General features: G+C 43.4%; 1 protein-coding gene across 5 annotated transcripts in view, besides 2 other annotated features; it reads left to right on the top strand.

Moving 5' to 3' along the window:
- The window catches only part of CLRN1 (clarin 1), a 46,837-nt gene extending 40,051 nt beyond the window's left edge, over nucleotides 1–6,786 (top strand). For 4 of the 5 annotated variants that reach the window (NR_046380.3, NM_001195794.1, NM_174878.3 and 1 more), the window contains one exon: nucleotides 4,748–6,382. Coding sequence is in view for 3 of the 5 variants with exons in the window: in NM_001195794.1 (NP_001182723.1) it covers nucleotides 4,748–5,013 (266 nt within the window). In the remaining 2 variants the exon portion in view is untranslated. Of the gene's footprint in view, nucleotides 1–4,747 lie in introns of all 5 variants that reach the window. The other variant, NM_052995.2, reaches the window with a different exon arrangement.
- Nucleotides 6,543–7,043: an enhancer, noted in NCBI's record as "H3K4me1 hESC enhancer chr3:150643693-150644193 (GRCh37/hg19 assembly coordinates)". NCBI's record gives its function as "activates a minimal SCP1, AML or CMV promoter by ChIP-STARR-seq in naive H9 embryonic stem cells {active_cell/tissue: H9 hESC(naive)}" and the evidence as "EXISTENCE:reporter gene assay evidence [ECO:0000049][PMID:30033119]".
- Nucleotides 11,373–11,667: an enhancer, noted in NCBI's record as "tiled region #9248; HepG2 Activating non-DNase unmatched - State 22:ReprW". NCBI's record gives its function as "activates a minimal TATA promoter and a strong SV40 promoter by Sharpr-MPRA in HepG2 cells {active_cell/tissue: HepG2}" and the evidence as "EXISTENCE:reporter gene assay evidence [ECO:0000049][PMID:27701403]".

Genomic DNA, 15,464 nt, shown 5'->3' with positions numbered 1-15,464 from the left:
GAAGATAAAGTGAAAAGGCTAGACCCAATGGTGTTATTCCTTCATCTACATCTATCCTTTGGAAACACATGACCAAATTGCTTGCCATCACAATCTCAAAATCTACCCTTTGGTATTAACTCACTTCACTTGTCCCTCTGTCCCTTTTTAGATGGTAGCCATCGGTCTCTGGAGCAGTGTAGAGTCAGAACAACTTCTATTTGGGGAAGAAATCATTGCTGGTGACCTTACTTTCAATTACTAACTTTCTAGTGACATTTACATAATTTTAGAGAAAATTAACACCTACACTTGTAAAGTTGTGGCTTTCCCACACCTATTTATCATCTCTCAATATTCCTTGAAAAGGAAATTATCAATTTATCATTCTATATTGGCAATGAAATGCCCCTAATATCTGTCACCTATAAGACAATTGAAGATGATGTGTTGAAAGCTTTCTGAAAATGCTGATCATTACTTTAAATGGAATTGAAATTCCAGTTTATTATTTCCAAAAATATGATCTTACTGATCATAGGATAACATTTCATAACATTTCAGAGATTTCTTCCCCTTCGAGGAGCCAAACCCATAGGACCTCTGGACTCCCACAGATCCTGGCAGGGAGTTCCCACTCATAAAAGCACAGGTGCCCTCAGAGTCATTCAGGGATGAAGAAGCAACCCTCATTGGCCATGTCCTACGTTCCCCATATAGTAAGGACTGGAGGAGACCAGTGCTCAATTCTGCAGTCTCAGACAGCTGTCAGAGGAGAGTCATGAATGTGCAGTGTCTAGCACATTACAAACGTTTGTTAATTGACTGATCATTCATGGTGTGACAGCCCTATAACTCAGCTATCCTATTCAGTCAGAAATTAACTCAGTAATCAAAGTCATTAAAAGGAAGAAAAAAAAAACCTACAGTACCAGACAGATGGTGGGGAAATCAGACAGATGAAAGGAAAAATGGCTGTAGGTCATTGAGTAAGACACTGGGCAGCAAAACCTGGGCCTTGTGCCTGGTTATACTCCACATTATAGCTCCAGCAAGGTTTGGCAGGATTTCCACAGTCCTGGCTTATTCTAACCTTTCTTGGGAGCAGGAGCAGTGTTGGTCAGATAGACAGACACATAAGGAATCTGTCCAACTGGCACCGTGTGAATTTGGGCTCTTGGTGTACATGGATAACTGGGAAAAAGAGGAGAGAGACATGTAGGACTGATCCTACCGTTTGTGAAGTCTTGGGCAAGAGTATGAATGAAAACCCACTTCTCTTCCCCTGCCTGGCTCCACTGCACACAGTAAAGAGCCTCAAGCATAGGTGTGTGGACATTGCACCATGTATCCAAGCTCTGACCATGCCTCTTGAAACAGCTATTCCTCAGCCACCCTCTGACCATGGGAGGAATGACCCAGGAGAAATGACCACATAGGTCTTGAAAATGGGCTCAGGGCTATTTACGAAGTCAATTCCGGGGTCCCAGGAGTATGGACTAAAATGTGAGTCAGGCATGCCAGATGGGTATGTTCTATTGACTTCAAGGATTCCTCATGCTGTGGGAAGGAACCTCTCCAGAAGAGAGACAGAGCAGAACCCTCTAAATGTGGGGCACAAAGCAGGAGCCCCTCTTGCTGGATTCAAAGGGTCATACTGGAAGAGTGTAGGTTGAGTCTTATTCTCACATCACTCATATCACTTACACACTTCTTTTATAGCCTTAGCAGCCATGCCACAAAGAGAAACTCTTCATGCATATCTTTTGGTCCATAAGTCATAAATAGTTATCCTTGATCCCATGTCTTTTTTAGAGCCATGGACAGAGAGAAGCAAAAATATACCAAGTTCACACTGAGTTGTCTCCCTTCATATCTCTTAGCAGTCACTGAAAGGTTATGAGACTCAGGCTGGGTTTCTATCCTCTGTCCCTGAAACGACAACGTTGACCTCGTGATCAACCCTAGAATCCAGAGCAAGATCTCAGACTGTCCTCTCTACTACCAGACAGCACACTTTGTTTTGGGGGCTGTGTGCTTGAAATATTAGCTATGGCAAAAGGCTTTGAGTCTTATGACACCCCAAGTAACTTTTACTTTAGGAATTTGAAATACAGCCTTGCTGTAATGCTGTCTCCTTAACAAAGCAGTACCTTTGAAATATTTAACAACTTGAAAAGGAAACCGAGCTTGAATTTTCCTTTCAGGTGCTCAGGAAATAATGTTTCACTTCTGTCTGAAATTCACCATCTCCTCAGACAAAGAAGGCTCTTATGGTAAAAGGAATGGCATTTTCTCCACAATTTTCGAATAAAAGATAAAGAGAAAACAGCACTGCAGCCTTTTTGTTAGGATCTAACAATAAAGAAATAATACGGTTTTGCCAGGGGAGAGCTCTGGTTTTAAGCTCAGAATACAAAAATAGGCTGACAAAATTTTACAAAGGAATATTCTCAGCTACCACTCTGAGGATGGTAGAAAGTGAAATTTCAAGAAAATTATATTATTTGATTATTTGATGATGATTAAGCTGATTGGCCAGTCCTATGTGAAATTCTAAAGTAGAAGAAATGTGATGTTGTCTTTTCTGCTCACCTCTCCCCTCATTCCTACCCCCAAATCTCTGCCTCTACCCCAAACCCAGCCTGACCTTTGGGAAAGGAATGGGGGCTGTCACTTGCACCGTAGCTCCTCCTGCCTGCAGTACTCTCCCCCCACAGTCCAGCCTCCCTCTGCTCAGCTAACTTTTCCTATAGCTCCTTCTGGCTACTTCTAAGGAACCTTCCATAATGCTGCCCACCCTCTCAGTAACAGCCCCTCTACTATCCCTTGATTACATGCACTGTAATTGGTTAGTAATTGATTTTATGTCCTCTGCCAAATTATACTCCATGAGAGCAAAAATCATGAGTATTATCTTTAATGTTTAAATCTCCACAACTATCCCCCATATAAGTCTAGAGAATAAATGAATGAGTGAATTAATGAATAGAAACTCAAGCCATTATGTTGCCACTCCTAGGATATTTGGATTAACTTTAACTGAAGAGTAAAAAGCATTTACCTGTCCTAAAGGAGACATAAAATTAGTGGGAGAGTATTTGGAGAAAAAAAAGACACTGTAATACATTCTTTTGTGTTGCCTACCCTGATGTAGTCAGGTGTCCCTGATATGGGGTGGGCTGAGGATTTGAAATAAAATACCTAATTTGACATTGTAAGTGGAGGAATCAGGATTTGAAACCAAATTGGTTTGACCTAAATCAAGCTATTATGATAAGGACTTGCAAGAAAAAAGGAATCCATAAAAACCATATGAATAGCTACCAATTAGTAAGCATTTATATGTGTCAATTACAAAGCCAAATGCAAATCATGCTTTATTTATATTAGCCACCTTTTATAGATGAAGAAATTGAGACCTGAATATTAAAATTGCCTACTTTTACATAGTAAGTAAAGGAATCAGGGTTTGAACCCAAATTGGTTTCACCTAAGGTAGAAAACCATCCCAGCAAGTCTCCTATTAACTGGAACCCTATTGTGGTGGCCTGAGATATAACAGTAGCTGTGGAAGCGCTGTAGAGTCCTGGCCATCCTATGTGCTCCTGATCTGGTCCCTCCTGCCACCTGCTTCTGCTCCCTGTGCCATCCACCCATCTGGAAGTCTCCCAGTGTCCATCTTCGGGGGAGACACTCACCAGAGTTTCCAGCTTCCAGCCAGTATGGAGTGCCCCTGTCCCACAGCAATCTCACCGAAATCACAGCTACATCTGTTAAAATTAGGCTACCAATGAGTGATAGATGAGGGGGAAAAATAATAATAGTGTACTAAACAAAACAAATGTTTATTTTTCTCACACATAAAAATCTAGAGGTTGAAGTCCAGGGCTGGTCCAGAGGCTCCAAGGATCTGGGATTTAGACTCCCTCTTTCTTGTTTTTCCACAGCATATGGCTTCCATTTCTGGGGCCACATTGGTCCAAAATGTATGCTGGGGCTCCAGCCATTGCATCCATATTTCAGCCACAGGAAGGAGGAAGTGGGGAAGAAAGGACAGGCCCCTAATACCTGTATAGTTCAAGAAGACTATCCCGCCCATACTTCCCAACCACCCTTAGTTGAACAATGCTGTCTTAATTCAAGACACTCACATGTCTAGCCAAAAATCTGAATTCTGTTACAAACAAGGAGAATAGAGATGTGCGCCACCTCAATACCTCATCCATAGCTACCTTTTCCTTTGTGCAGCTGTGGCCAAGTGAAAGCTGAAGGAGCTGTGGTAACCCTTCTGAAGGGAGGCTGGGGCCTTTCACAAGAGGCTGCATGATTGACATTTATCCTGCATGGCCTGTGAAGTACAGAGAAATATTTTCTCTTGAAGCCACATCATAGCAGTGGCTGCTTTGTAGCCTGATTCCACCATTATGCCTTTAAAGTGCCTAGCAATTCAGCCTTCACATCATGCAAAGAGGAATATCTCCCAGTCTTTGTAAGATCAGCTTAATTCTAACCACCTCCTTACCTCCCACTGCACTCCTACACGCACACACAAATCTTCTTCACTCAGAGCAGAACCATAACCCAAGCCCTACCACCTAGAGACTGAAGAATCAGGCTCATGATTACAAATATGCAATAATTTTTTGTGTGGATAATGTCAATGGGGATGATGGTAAGAGAATTCCTTGGTTTACACATTGACCCTCTTCCCTGTCCCTTACAATCAGGAAATATTTGTCCCAACACCTTGTTTCTTCTGTTGCAGGCTCCTGTGGCTGTCTTGTCATGATATTGTTTGCCTCTGAAGTGAAAATCCATCACCTCTCAGAAAAAATTGCAAATTATAAAGAAGGGACTTATGTCTACAAAACGCAAAGTGAAAAATATACCACCTCATTCTGGGTCATTTTCTTTTGCTTTTTTGTTCATTTTCTGAATGGGCTCCTAATACGACTTGCTGGATTTCAGTTCCCTTTTGCAAAATCTAAAGACGCAGAAACAACTAATGTAGCTGCAGATCTAATGTACTGAAAGGCAAACCTTTCTATAATTTTACAAGGGAGTAGACTTGCTTTGGTCACTTTTAGATGTGGTTAATTTTGCATATCCTTTTAGTCTGCATATATTAAAGCATCAGGACCCTTCGTGACAATGTTTACAAATTACGTACTAAGGATACAGGCTGGAAAGTAAGGGAAGCAGAAGGAAGGCTTTGAAAAGTTGTTTTATCTGGTGGGAAATTGCTTGACCCAGGTAGTCAAAGGCAGTTGACTAGAATCGACAAATTGTTACTCCATATATATATATGTGTGTGTGTGTGTGTGTGTGTGTGTGTAAGATGTCTTCCTATCAAAAAGATATCAAAGGCACATGGAATATATTTTAATAAAAACAAATAATATCTCTAATATATCCACACATTTGTTGCCAGATTTCAGAAAACTGAGCTGCAATCGCTTTCCTAAAACAGTAGTGTATTAAATGAACATCTATAAAATGTATCAACACACATTTTAAAAAATTTGTTTAAAGTATACTCTTAGGCCAGGCGTGGTGACTCACACCTGTAATTCCAGCACTTCAGGAGGCCAAGGTGGGAAGATCATTTGAGTTCAGGAGTTCGAGTTACAGCCTGGGCAATAAAGTGAGACCCTGTCACTAACAAAATTAAAAAATAAAATAAATATAAAATATAGGCTTTAAAAAAGCATAGTCTTATTAACCATGTCTGTTGGTCAAAATCTGCAAACTCTAAAAGAAGAAAAGAAGAAAAAACCAAGCTTAGGGTATTTTTCCTCCCGTGCCTGAGTCCCAATTACATTCACGACAGTACTTTCAATGAACATAATTGTTAGGACCACTGAGGAATCATGAAAAATGATCTCTGCTTAGTACATTTGATGCAAAATGACTTATTAGGGGCTGTTTTTCTAGCTATAGTGTCTCGAGTACTAATATGCAATTATGAAAATTATATTAAATCTGGGATTATGACGGTATCACTGTATCATCTTGGTCTTGTTCTGGCTGTCACCAAGCATGACCCAGGTCAACTTTTTTTTTCCCCTGAATTACCCATCAAATTGATCTGCAGCTGACTAAAGGCCACAGCTGAGCCTGGAACTGACCCTTCCTTCATCCTCAACCTGCTGTCCTCCAGAAAGCACCAAGGAAAAAGCAGAGAATGACAGCAAACAGATCACTAGGCCTCTGACCACAGGTGCTGAGTACTCAGCAGCCCTCATATAATAGGTTTGAAAGTACTCCTTAAAATAAAACACTGTTTCCCTTTGGAACTATTTACAAGGATGAAACAACCGTATACCTGAGAAATAACTTGCTCTGGTGTCAATTCGCTATTCGCCAGCAGACATCAGAACACACCGAGTTTCCAGATGCTGGTTTTTCCCCTTAAATCAGGAAATACACCTGGACAATTTCTAGAAGACTACAATTCAGTCTAGCCACAAAGGGGATTTTTTTTTTTTGGTAACAGGCTAGAGCCCGGTTCTGTAAGTCTTTAGCTGAAATGGTCCAGTACAAAAGCACTGGAAATGAGTGGGCTAGGAGGACAAGGACCGTCTCCTGCGTGAGGAGTTGGTTGGAGGTCCCCAAGGCCAGGTACCCCCTGCACTCTTATTGGATTCCTCTCTGTCTTCTTGGAGTTTTGAAAAACTCCTTCGAACACCAGGCTTTTTTCTTTAGAAAACAAGTCTCCAATCGTTCTCTGTTCCGTAGAAAGAGAAAGAAAACCTGGAGCAGCTGCTGAAAAATCTAATGAGGAACTAAGAGGCAAACCCACCATGTTCCCTGGCTGGAAAGGAGAAGCAGGGCTGTGACAGACACTCAAAAGGTCCCTGCAGAGCACACCGCACACAAAATAAAGCAGGAAACAACCCGGCACCAGCAGCACCGGTCTCCCTCTCTTCTCGCAGATGAAACGCATAGTCCCCAGGCCTATGGGGAGCCCTTAGAAGAAGGGTCTGGCCAGGACGCTCATAGGCGGCTCCCACTCGGTGGGAATCAAAGGCCCCGGGAATGACATTCGTTTTGCTGGGACCCGCCCTCCTTCCCCAGGTGGCAGCTAGCCTTCTCACAAGGTCGCGGGGCCCCCTGCTGGCCCTGGGGAGGCGAACACCATGCCAGGTGGGGAGCCTGTTTAATTGTCTCAGACACCTTCATGTCATCAGTGAGAACATCAGTGCTGATGATGCTGCCAGAAAGAATGGCAAGAAGAATGTATGAACATCACCCTAGGTTTGTCCAGGTGGACCCAGCCAAGGCAAGACGTGTTCACCGGAAGAGGAGCAAGCTTCAGAATGAAGCGAAAACAGATGCAGATGGTGCATTAGAATGAAGAGGAGGGGCACTCCTTACATCCGGGCGTCTTACAGTTGGCAGAGGTCTTTTGCTCTTGCGGTCGCATCTGTTCCTCCAGGGAAGCTGCTTCCGTGTCACATTCCAGGTATTCAGGGCCCCTCAATGAGGCCAGAGTATCATACGTGTACACAATCAAGGCAAGGGACAGTGCTATTATTCTCCTCTCCCTCTTGCCCCTTTACCTGGCAAGAGGCTAGGAGAGGGAGACCACCACCCCTTCTTAACCCTGGTGGAGACAGAGGGTGCACTCTGGCAGCGGTAGGGTGCACCAGCTCCAAGGTAAGCGTGGCTTGCTGCTAGAATGGATATTTGTCCCAATCATTTACCTAGAGAAACCTGAATGAGAACAGAGGCGTAGACTCCAGAGGGTGGAAAGTGGGGCGGGGGTGGGGGGAGGATTAACTTCCCTCTCGATTTTCCTCACCCTCTCCCCTTCCAATAAGATCCAGTGTAGTTAAAACAGTGCATCTGTTATAATAGAAATGCTGCTTCAAGACCAGGCCAAAGCCCGGCCGTGTTTCTCTAACGGCCTTGCTGCCCCTCATCCCTTCTATTTACATATCCTGGGGCCTGTACTAGTTCAGTGCTCAGTGTCTGCTCTAGAGACATGCCCATTTTCAAGCCCCATCAACGTGGCAGTTGGTCCCGGCTCAGGGCTGATGGGCCACCACCATCAGTGACAAGGGACACAGCAATGCTGGTCAATTTAAAGGGCAGACAGAAAGACTGGGCGGGACTGGGGTTTCTGCTTGTGGGCCAAAATCCCCCCTTGGAAAAAGCCCTCTTGCTCCTGTAAATACTGATGTAAACCAAATTAAATTATATTTTGATTTACAGACTTAGTGATAAATTCCCACCAAGGCAACCAGACACATCCATGGGTGTCACAGCTCAGAGCTGGGATTTACTAGCTTATGTGGAAAGTCCAAAGACCCAAGTCAGAAATCTCCAGACTCTCCCCTGCCAGTCCTACCGGACAGTATCAGGCAATAGTTATAGAGACCCCAGGGTGGAAGTGAGGTGAGGGTGAGCTATGGTGCAGTTAAAAGGCAAGTGTCTTAAGAGATTGTTTCTTTGCTTGAATCTTGGTCTGAGGGATTTTGACCCACTCTGAAAGCAGTAGACAGAATGAGTTACAAGTTTGTGCACCCCTCATTCAGCAAAAGTCCACTCTTCCCTCTGTGAGCCACGAACCCGACTGAAGAGAAGAGTGAGAGACTTGGGAATTCCTGCTAGCGGTGTTCTCTCTCTCCCTCCTCTGGTATAGTTTGTCAGTGGGTTCGCAGAGGAGGAGGCTTGGGCCCCTCAAGTAATCTAAGCCAGTGCCCTACCAGAAACGTGCAATTTCAGGGCACGACATCTGCCACCCTGTTGTTGCACTCTCCTCAGGTTCCAATTTATCATGAACTTTGCAAAAAAGGGTAGCATAGCTAATCCAGAGGTGTGGATTCCGGGATGCCATGGCTGTCTGATTTGCACTTAAATTTGCCATCTTTCTATTTAGCCAAGTGTAATGAATAGTGTGCCTTAATATAGGGAAGGACGGTGTCTGCTGCACATCCCAGGCCAGAAGCTCCAAGAGAATCAGCTGTATAGACTTTCATTTGCTGCCATATAGCTGCCCCCTTTGCCCTACTCCTCTGCAGTCACCCTTTCACCCATGGAAATTCGATGTGCTCTTCACCAGTTTCCTCTTCTCTGGAGCACAGTTAAACAGCTAAAGTACATTTCCCAGTCTCCTTTGGAGTTGGGGCCATGTGAGTGTGGCTGTACCAATGACATGTTGGTTGAAGTGACCTGTGCCATTTTCAGGCCTGGCCCTGAAAAACATCCCATGCAATCCTCCAGCTCTCTCTTCTTCTGGTGCTGCATGCAGCCTTGGAATCTGTGAGATCCAGACGGAAGGCTGCAAAACTGGGGCGGGCCTCCTGCCCTGCACTAGAGTACAAGAGTAGTAAATAAACTTTCTCTGTAAAGCCACTGATTTTTGGTGATTGTGACTGTAGCTTAGTCTAATTTAGCCTAGCCTAGCAAACAGGAACCCATTCTCCAAGAAAGCTCTTCTGCTGCCTGCCAGGGAGATGCTTCTCTAGGGCTCCCAAGGCACAGTCTATGCCAGTGCACCTTGCACCGTCTCCACTTGCTCCTCTCTGTGCCTCTGTCCTTTGTGGCCCTCTGGTCACATTACCCATCACCCACTGAAATGAAGACCGGAGAGTGAATTGTCTACATCAATAACTAAAGAGTAAATAAACACTTTTGCTTATGCTGCTGTCCTTCAAGATTCTTTCCAAATATGGGTTAATAAACCCTTTTTCATTATTCAAAAAGGATCTATCTTGCATCTCCTACAGATGTAGCTGTGTGTAAGGCACCAAATATTGGGATGGCTAATGTAAAAAGGGTAAGAATACATTTTTTTCTTGATTTTTGGCTGAGAGCAGAGAATAATATCCTCTAAAACTTTCTATCTTTAGTTTCTGTTTAAAACTTCAGTATAGTATTAAGAAAAGGCTTTTTAAGTTTACCCATAATAGGAAAATCTGATGAAATTTTGTAACAAAGGAAATCATTTAAAAAAAAAATTATCCTAGAGTTTCAGTTTTCACAAAATGCTATAAGAACTCTGTTACTTAATTAAATAATACTGAAAAAAAACTTAAAAAGAATGTATCAAGAAGAGCGACTGGGAGATAGGAGGGAGGCTTCCATCACCATCCAGATCTGGGAGGGTTCCCTCTAGGAGGCGTGGCTGCTCCCTCCTCCCTAAGGGGCGGGGCATTCAGATGAGGAATTTTCCGCAGTCCTGCGTCAGACTACATGTTGAGGTCCAGAGAAATGCTTTTCCTGCTGGTTGGTGGCGAAGAGACCTGCTCCATGCTATCAACTTGGTCGTCTCCTGGGCAGAAATGAGAAGGCATTGGGCGCTGACTCAGTTTCCCCAACGTCCTCTAGTGCTGGAAAACGATGGTACTTGTTCTAGCAGAGATTCTAGATTTATTCTAGGAGTACCTCCTCTTAAATTTCTGCCCATCTCCAGCCCTTGGTATTTTCTAGCTTATCCTGCAAGAATGTCACTATTTTAAACCTAAACTAGTGACTATTGAACTTAAAAATCACTTTTGTTCCCTGGATCCAGAGTCACCCACTTCTCCCCAAAGCTGATGAGCAGTTACCTGGACTAAGCAGAGGTTTCTGGAGTATAAGGGAAGCAAAACAAGCACAGGGGAGCACGAGAGCATATCCAAAAGAACCAGTGAAATATCCTTTCACCGCACACAGTAACTCTCAACTGGAAACTCCTTCTGATTTTTTCTAAGCATTTAACAAACTTCACAGATGCCCTCCACCCCACACAATATGCTTATGTCCTTTGAAAAATACGTAAATATAAAAAAATACAAAATGCATGCATGTCCTGTCAATTACCTCTCTGTCCTTTACCACAAAGGAAAGGCTTCCTATTTTACTTAATGTTTCGGTCAGGAAGCATTTAACATGAGAAAAAAAAATCTACCTAAACCATCCTAAACAAAGAGAGAGAGAATGAGAATTAGAGATCCAGTGCAAAGATACAGCAGCATCTCCCGTGGCACTAGGATACTAGGGCAGTAAGCACATTCAGACCTCACGAAGGGGTGGATCCGGGAGTTGGAAAGTCAGTAGAAACAAACTTCCCTTCCCTCCCATTCCTCGCTTCACCATTGTGTTGGCATGGCATGCATGCGGGTGTGAATGTATGAGTGTGTGTGTGTGTCTGTGTGTGTGTGTGTGTCTGGCTGGCATGCATGCGGGTGTGAATGTATGAATGTGTGTGTGTGTGTGTGTCTGTGTGTGTGTGTGTGTCTAAGACCACATAGTTCTGGCCCCTGTTTTACTTTGTGCCTCTGAACAATTCACTTCTCTCTCTGCCTACCAGATTTCTGTGCGTTTTCAAAGCATGAGGGGAAAAAAACTCTCTTCAGCTTGAGGCCTACATTAATGCCCTAGATTCAGCACCAGCTTCCAATCCTTCAATCTCTGTTGCCCATTTCCAAATTCCAGGTAGGGAAGGAGAATCAGAATGGTCCTGCCCAGTTCTGAATCAGTTCTCCTTGATCAGGTGCCCACCCTTGCTCCACACAACTGAAGTGAGGGAGGGATGAGTCATGGCTGCAGGGCCTGGGTGCACAGTACGTGTGTGCGTGCACATGCAGGGGTGTGTGTGTGTGTGTGCACGTGTGTGCCTGTGTGCACGTGTGTGTGTTAGGGGGGTCTCCCAGAAGAGGATGTGAGCTTGGCAGATACCCCAAAACTGTCCATCATGATTGGTAAAATAAAAATGTGATTCTGCATCCTATACATTAACATTTATAGGAGTCTTTACATACAGTTTTATGCCTTATAATGACTGACCAAATTGTCTTCCCAATTTCTAACCCATTTTATTGTTTTATAAAATCAGAGAAAGACATTGAGATTTTTCCATAGGGTTTAAATTTTTTCTGTGTATCTCATTCTTCAATATATCAGTTGAGTGACTGATACTTCCTTAATTTAAAACAAAAACACTCTAGATGGTTTCTAGTGAGTAGACAAAGCAGTTTTATTAATATTTCTAGATGTCTCTTCTATTCTAACATGGGTTTTCATTCTTTCCCTGGTCTTCCCTCACCCACATTATAGCAGACCTATGGCCAAACCCACACATATATAAGGAACAGGGCAAACCAACTGGGCTGAGCTGAGATTATTCTGATCAAATTTACAAACTCACATTTCTCTGTAAGACACAGACATCAAGCCACCTTCTCCCCTCTTGCCTTACCCCCAGCTGTTCTGTGAATCACAATACATTCTTTTGCTCAGGAGACATGTGCAATGTCTTTGCCACACAAATGTAGAGACTCACTTATATCATGGCATACTTGTCCCTCATTATTTTCTGGAGACTCAATATCAATTCAGAAAGATTCAATTGCTGAACTCAAAGTGACACCTCTTCCAGCCTCATGAGTGGCATTTTGCTCATGATGTAGTCCTGCAGCACCGCCACAGAGTATCCTGATTCTGAAGGATTCTTAGAAACATTTCCTTCCGGTCTCAGTATCAGGATTGGCTGTTCTGCCAAAGAAGGGTTTTGTTTTTGTTGTTACATGTTTGTCCTAATGGATCATATCATCACTCACTGTGGATTAGTCACTGCAAAGCCTGAGGTGACTTCTGTGGCTCACCCATGGCAGTATCTAGAATTTCATGGGTGTCTTTTGTGTATTGGGAACTAGATTTATTCCTGGCTCAGGTGGGTTCTGATGCTTTTTATTCCATTTTTTTCTTACTCATCTATCTTTTCAACTCCTAATTTATAATCTTTCCAAGAATCACATACACCTTTGTAAGCTGCTTTAAGTTTTTTAGAGCAAGGGATACAAATTTTACAAATCCAGATCTTCCCATCATACAATACTAAAGTTACATGAGAATAAGAAAAAATGTAAGTAAATTATAACCCAATTCTCAAAATGCTTTTACGTCACATAAATTGTTTTGTCCACTGCTAAATCTTCTTCCCTAGAACAATGCCTAACATGTGCTGAGCACTTACTAAGTTGAATGACTATGGGCCAATTTCAATCCTCCTTTCTGTTGCAGAGATCTGTTTCCAACCTCAGCTGAGGTTCCCCTACACAATCAGCTTCCTGCCATTGCCATTTTCCTTAATTTCCATCTAACTCTAAATCTGATGAAGCTTTCACGCCTTCATTTTGAAGGAGGTGACTATTTTGATTCATAAGATCTACTGTCCTGCAATATCTTCCTGATCCTTTGCCAGTAACTGCCCAGAGCACTCGAGAGAAGATGCTGATGCTTGTTCTAATGAATGAATCAAATGACTCATAAGATATTGATTAAGCTTCAACCATGTGTCCTGCATGAAAGAAAAATACAGGGCATAGCCCCTGCTCTTAGAACTCAAATCACTTTCCAAAAATCACAGAAACTATACTGCTACTAAAGTACAGACTGTTTTCTCAGTAAGTAAATTCAAGTTAAACCAGCTTGATGAAATGGAAAGGGCACCAGGTTTAAGCCCAAACTCTTCCTCTCACCAGTTCTGTGAGTCTGGGGTGTCACCTAACTTTTCCTGAACTTTGTTTACCTATGAGAAACTAATCTAAATGTCTCCAAACTGCCCCCATATATGCACACAAATAACCATCACACTAGCCTTAATTTCCAATTTTGGTGGCTCTTACAAGCTCCTCCAAGTAGAGAACCAAGGCATTGCTCCCCAGCCCTGCCCACTCCCCATGTGCCTCCCCTTCCATTCTGGGAGTTTCTAAATCCTCCTGTGTACCCAGGAACAAGTCTGTCATCCCAGTTTCCACACCAAGGCAGCTCACAGCTGACCTGCTCCTGAGGCTTTTGTGAGAAGACTGCTTGGCTGAAGCAAAGGATTTGTTCACTGAGGGATGCTCTGCAACCCAGGGTTCTAGAATGCACTGCGGCCTGGGGTAGAGTGGGGTCAGGGTAGAGAACAGCTCCTCCCACTGCTGTGGCACTCCCAGTCTTCTGTGCCCCTAACCGCCTTGCTTCTGCCTGAGATGCCACATGTCTGCTTGCATTCTCTCTTGTCACAGGTCCCTCTTTTCTCCTCTCCAGGTACCTAGCTACATTTCCTTCTATAACCAAAAAGGAGAAGCCTCATGCCCATCAGCTCTCATTAATGTCTTATCAATGCATCCAGAAGGGTCCCCAGCCCACATTGTGTGGAGTCAGGATTCAATACACAGTTGGATTATCCACTACGTGAAAGAGGATCCACCTAAAGGATCTCTACAGGGCCAACGATTCCAAGGAATCCTGTACTTCCTTGGGAGCACTGAACCACCAGATGGTGCAGCGCATCGTAGGAGCATTTATTTCCGCTGTGCTGTGGTGAGCAGAGGGGTCCAGGGCCCACCATAACCAGTTGGGCATTTGCAACTCCATTTTGTACATTGTTCCACCATGCAGACCAAGGAGACAAGAAGATGAGCAGTCAGTATTTTAAGCCTCACTACGCCCTACTCATTGTCAAGCTTTCTTTCTCCCTTTTCTCTTCTTTTATATTAGCATTACTTCCCTTTTTTTCTTTAAGCAGTAAAAGGTTTATATCATATTTTTAAAGTGGCTTGCTTGAGAAATTGGAAGTTTCTCTGTAGGGCACCTTGAGGGCTTTCCAAATCTGCTCCCTGCTCAGAAGTTCAAAGCTATATCTTCAGTACCTCATGAGTTGCAAATACTCTGGATTCTAAGTCAAATTAATTACTGTCTTCAGCTGAAGTATCATCCTGACACCTAGGGAGGACTGTGTTGATTTAGCAAGCTGATAGAGCAGAGGAAGGCACAGGCAATGCTGATTTAAATCTATCCAACCGTGGAGAGGTGCTCGGTGTTCTGACGGAGGCTAACTCTGCAGCAGCAGCACAGAGGATGCAAGCACAGATCCTGGTAAGGGGGGCCTTCTGCATGTTGGAGTTTATCCAGCAGCTCACGAAGGGAAATGACATAGTCCGATTTGCATTACAGAACAACATGCTGGGGCCTGTCGACGAGGGACAGGAACAGAACCTAGTCAACCAATGAGAACATTTTACAGAAAGTCACCCAAAAGATTATGAGAGTCAGACTCAGACAGTAGATGGATGCAGAAATGTGTATCATGCAAACGTGTAGTCGAGATTTGATGATGGACCAAACGTAAAGAGTGAGGAAGAGACTCTCTATTTGAAGTCGAGCTCTGTTCTGAATTGAAGTCTCTCCTACTGCAGTAGCTCAAATATTAAGTTGATGAAAAAGTAATTGTGTTTTTTGCCATTACATTTAATGCCAAAATCCGCAATTACTTTTGCAGCAACCTAATAAAATCTGTCTTGCTGTTTTTAATGAGTGTTCAATGAAAAAAAAATTTCTATTATGCACAGACAAGCCACCCAAATGTTACAAGTGGATGAGGGGTGAGAATACCGAAGGTAGAAGTGAAGCCTCAAAAGTGGGACCCAAAGTTCAGTGAGGCAATCGGAGATTTCATGCAAGAGTTCAAAATGCTTGGGTGGTGCCTCAAAGGGCTAGAAGCAATA

The sequence above is a fragment of the Homo sapiens genome, chromosome 3 (genome assembly GCF_000001405.40).
Source record: "Homo sapiens chromosome 3, GRCh38.p14 Primary Assembly".
Taxonomy (NCBI): domain Eukaryota; kingdom Metazoa; phylum Chordata; class Mammalia; order Primates; family Hominidae; genus Homo; species Homo sapiens.
This window is presented reverse-complemented; position numbering and strand designations above follow the sequence as displayed.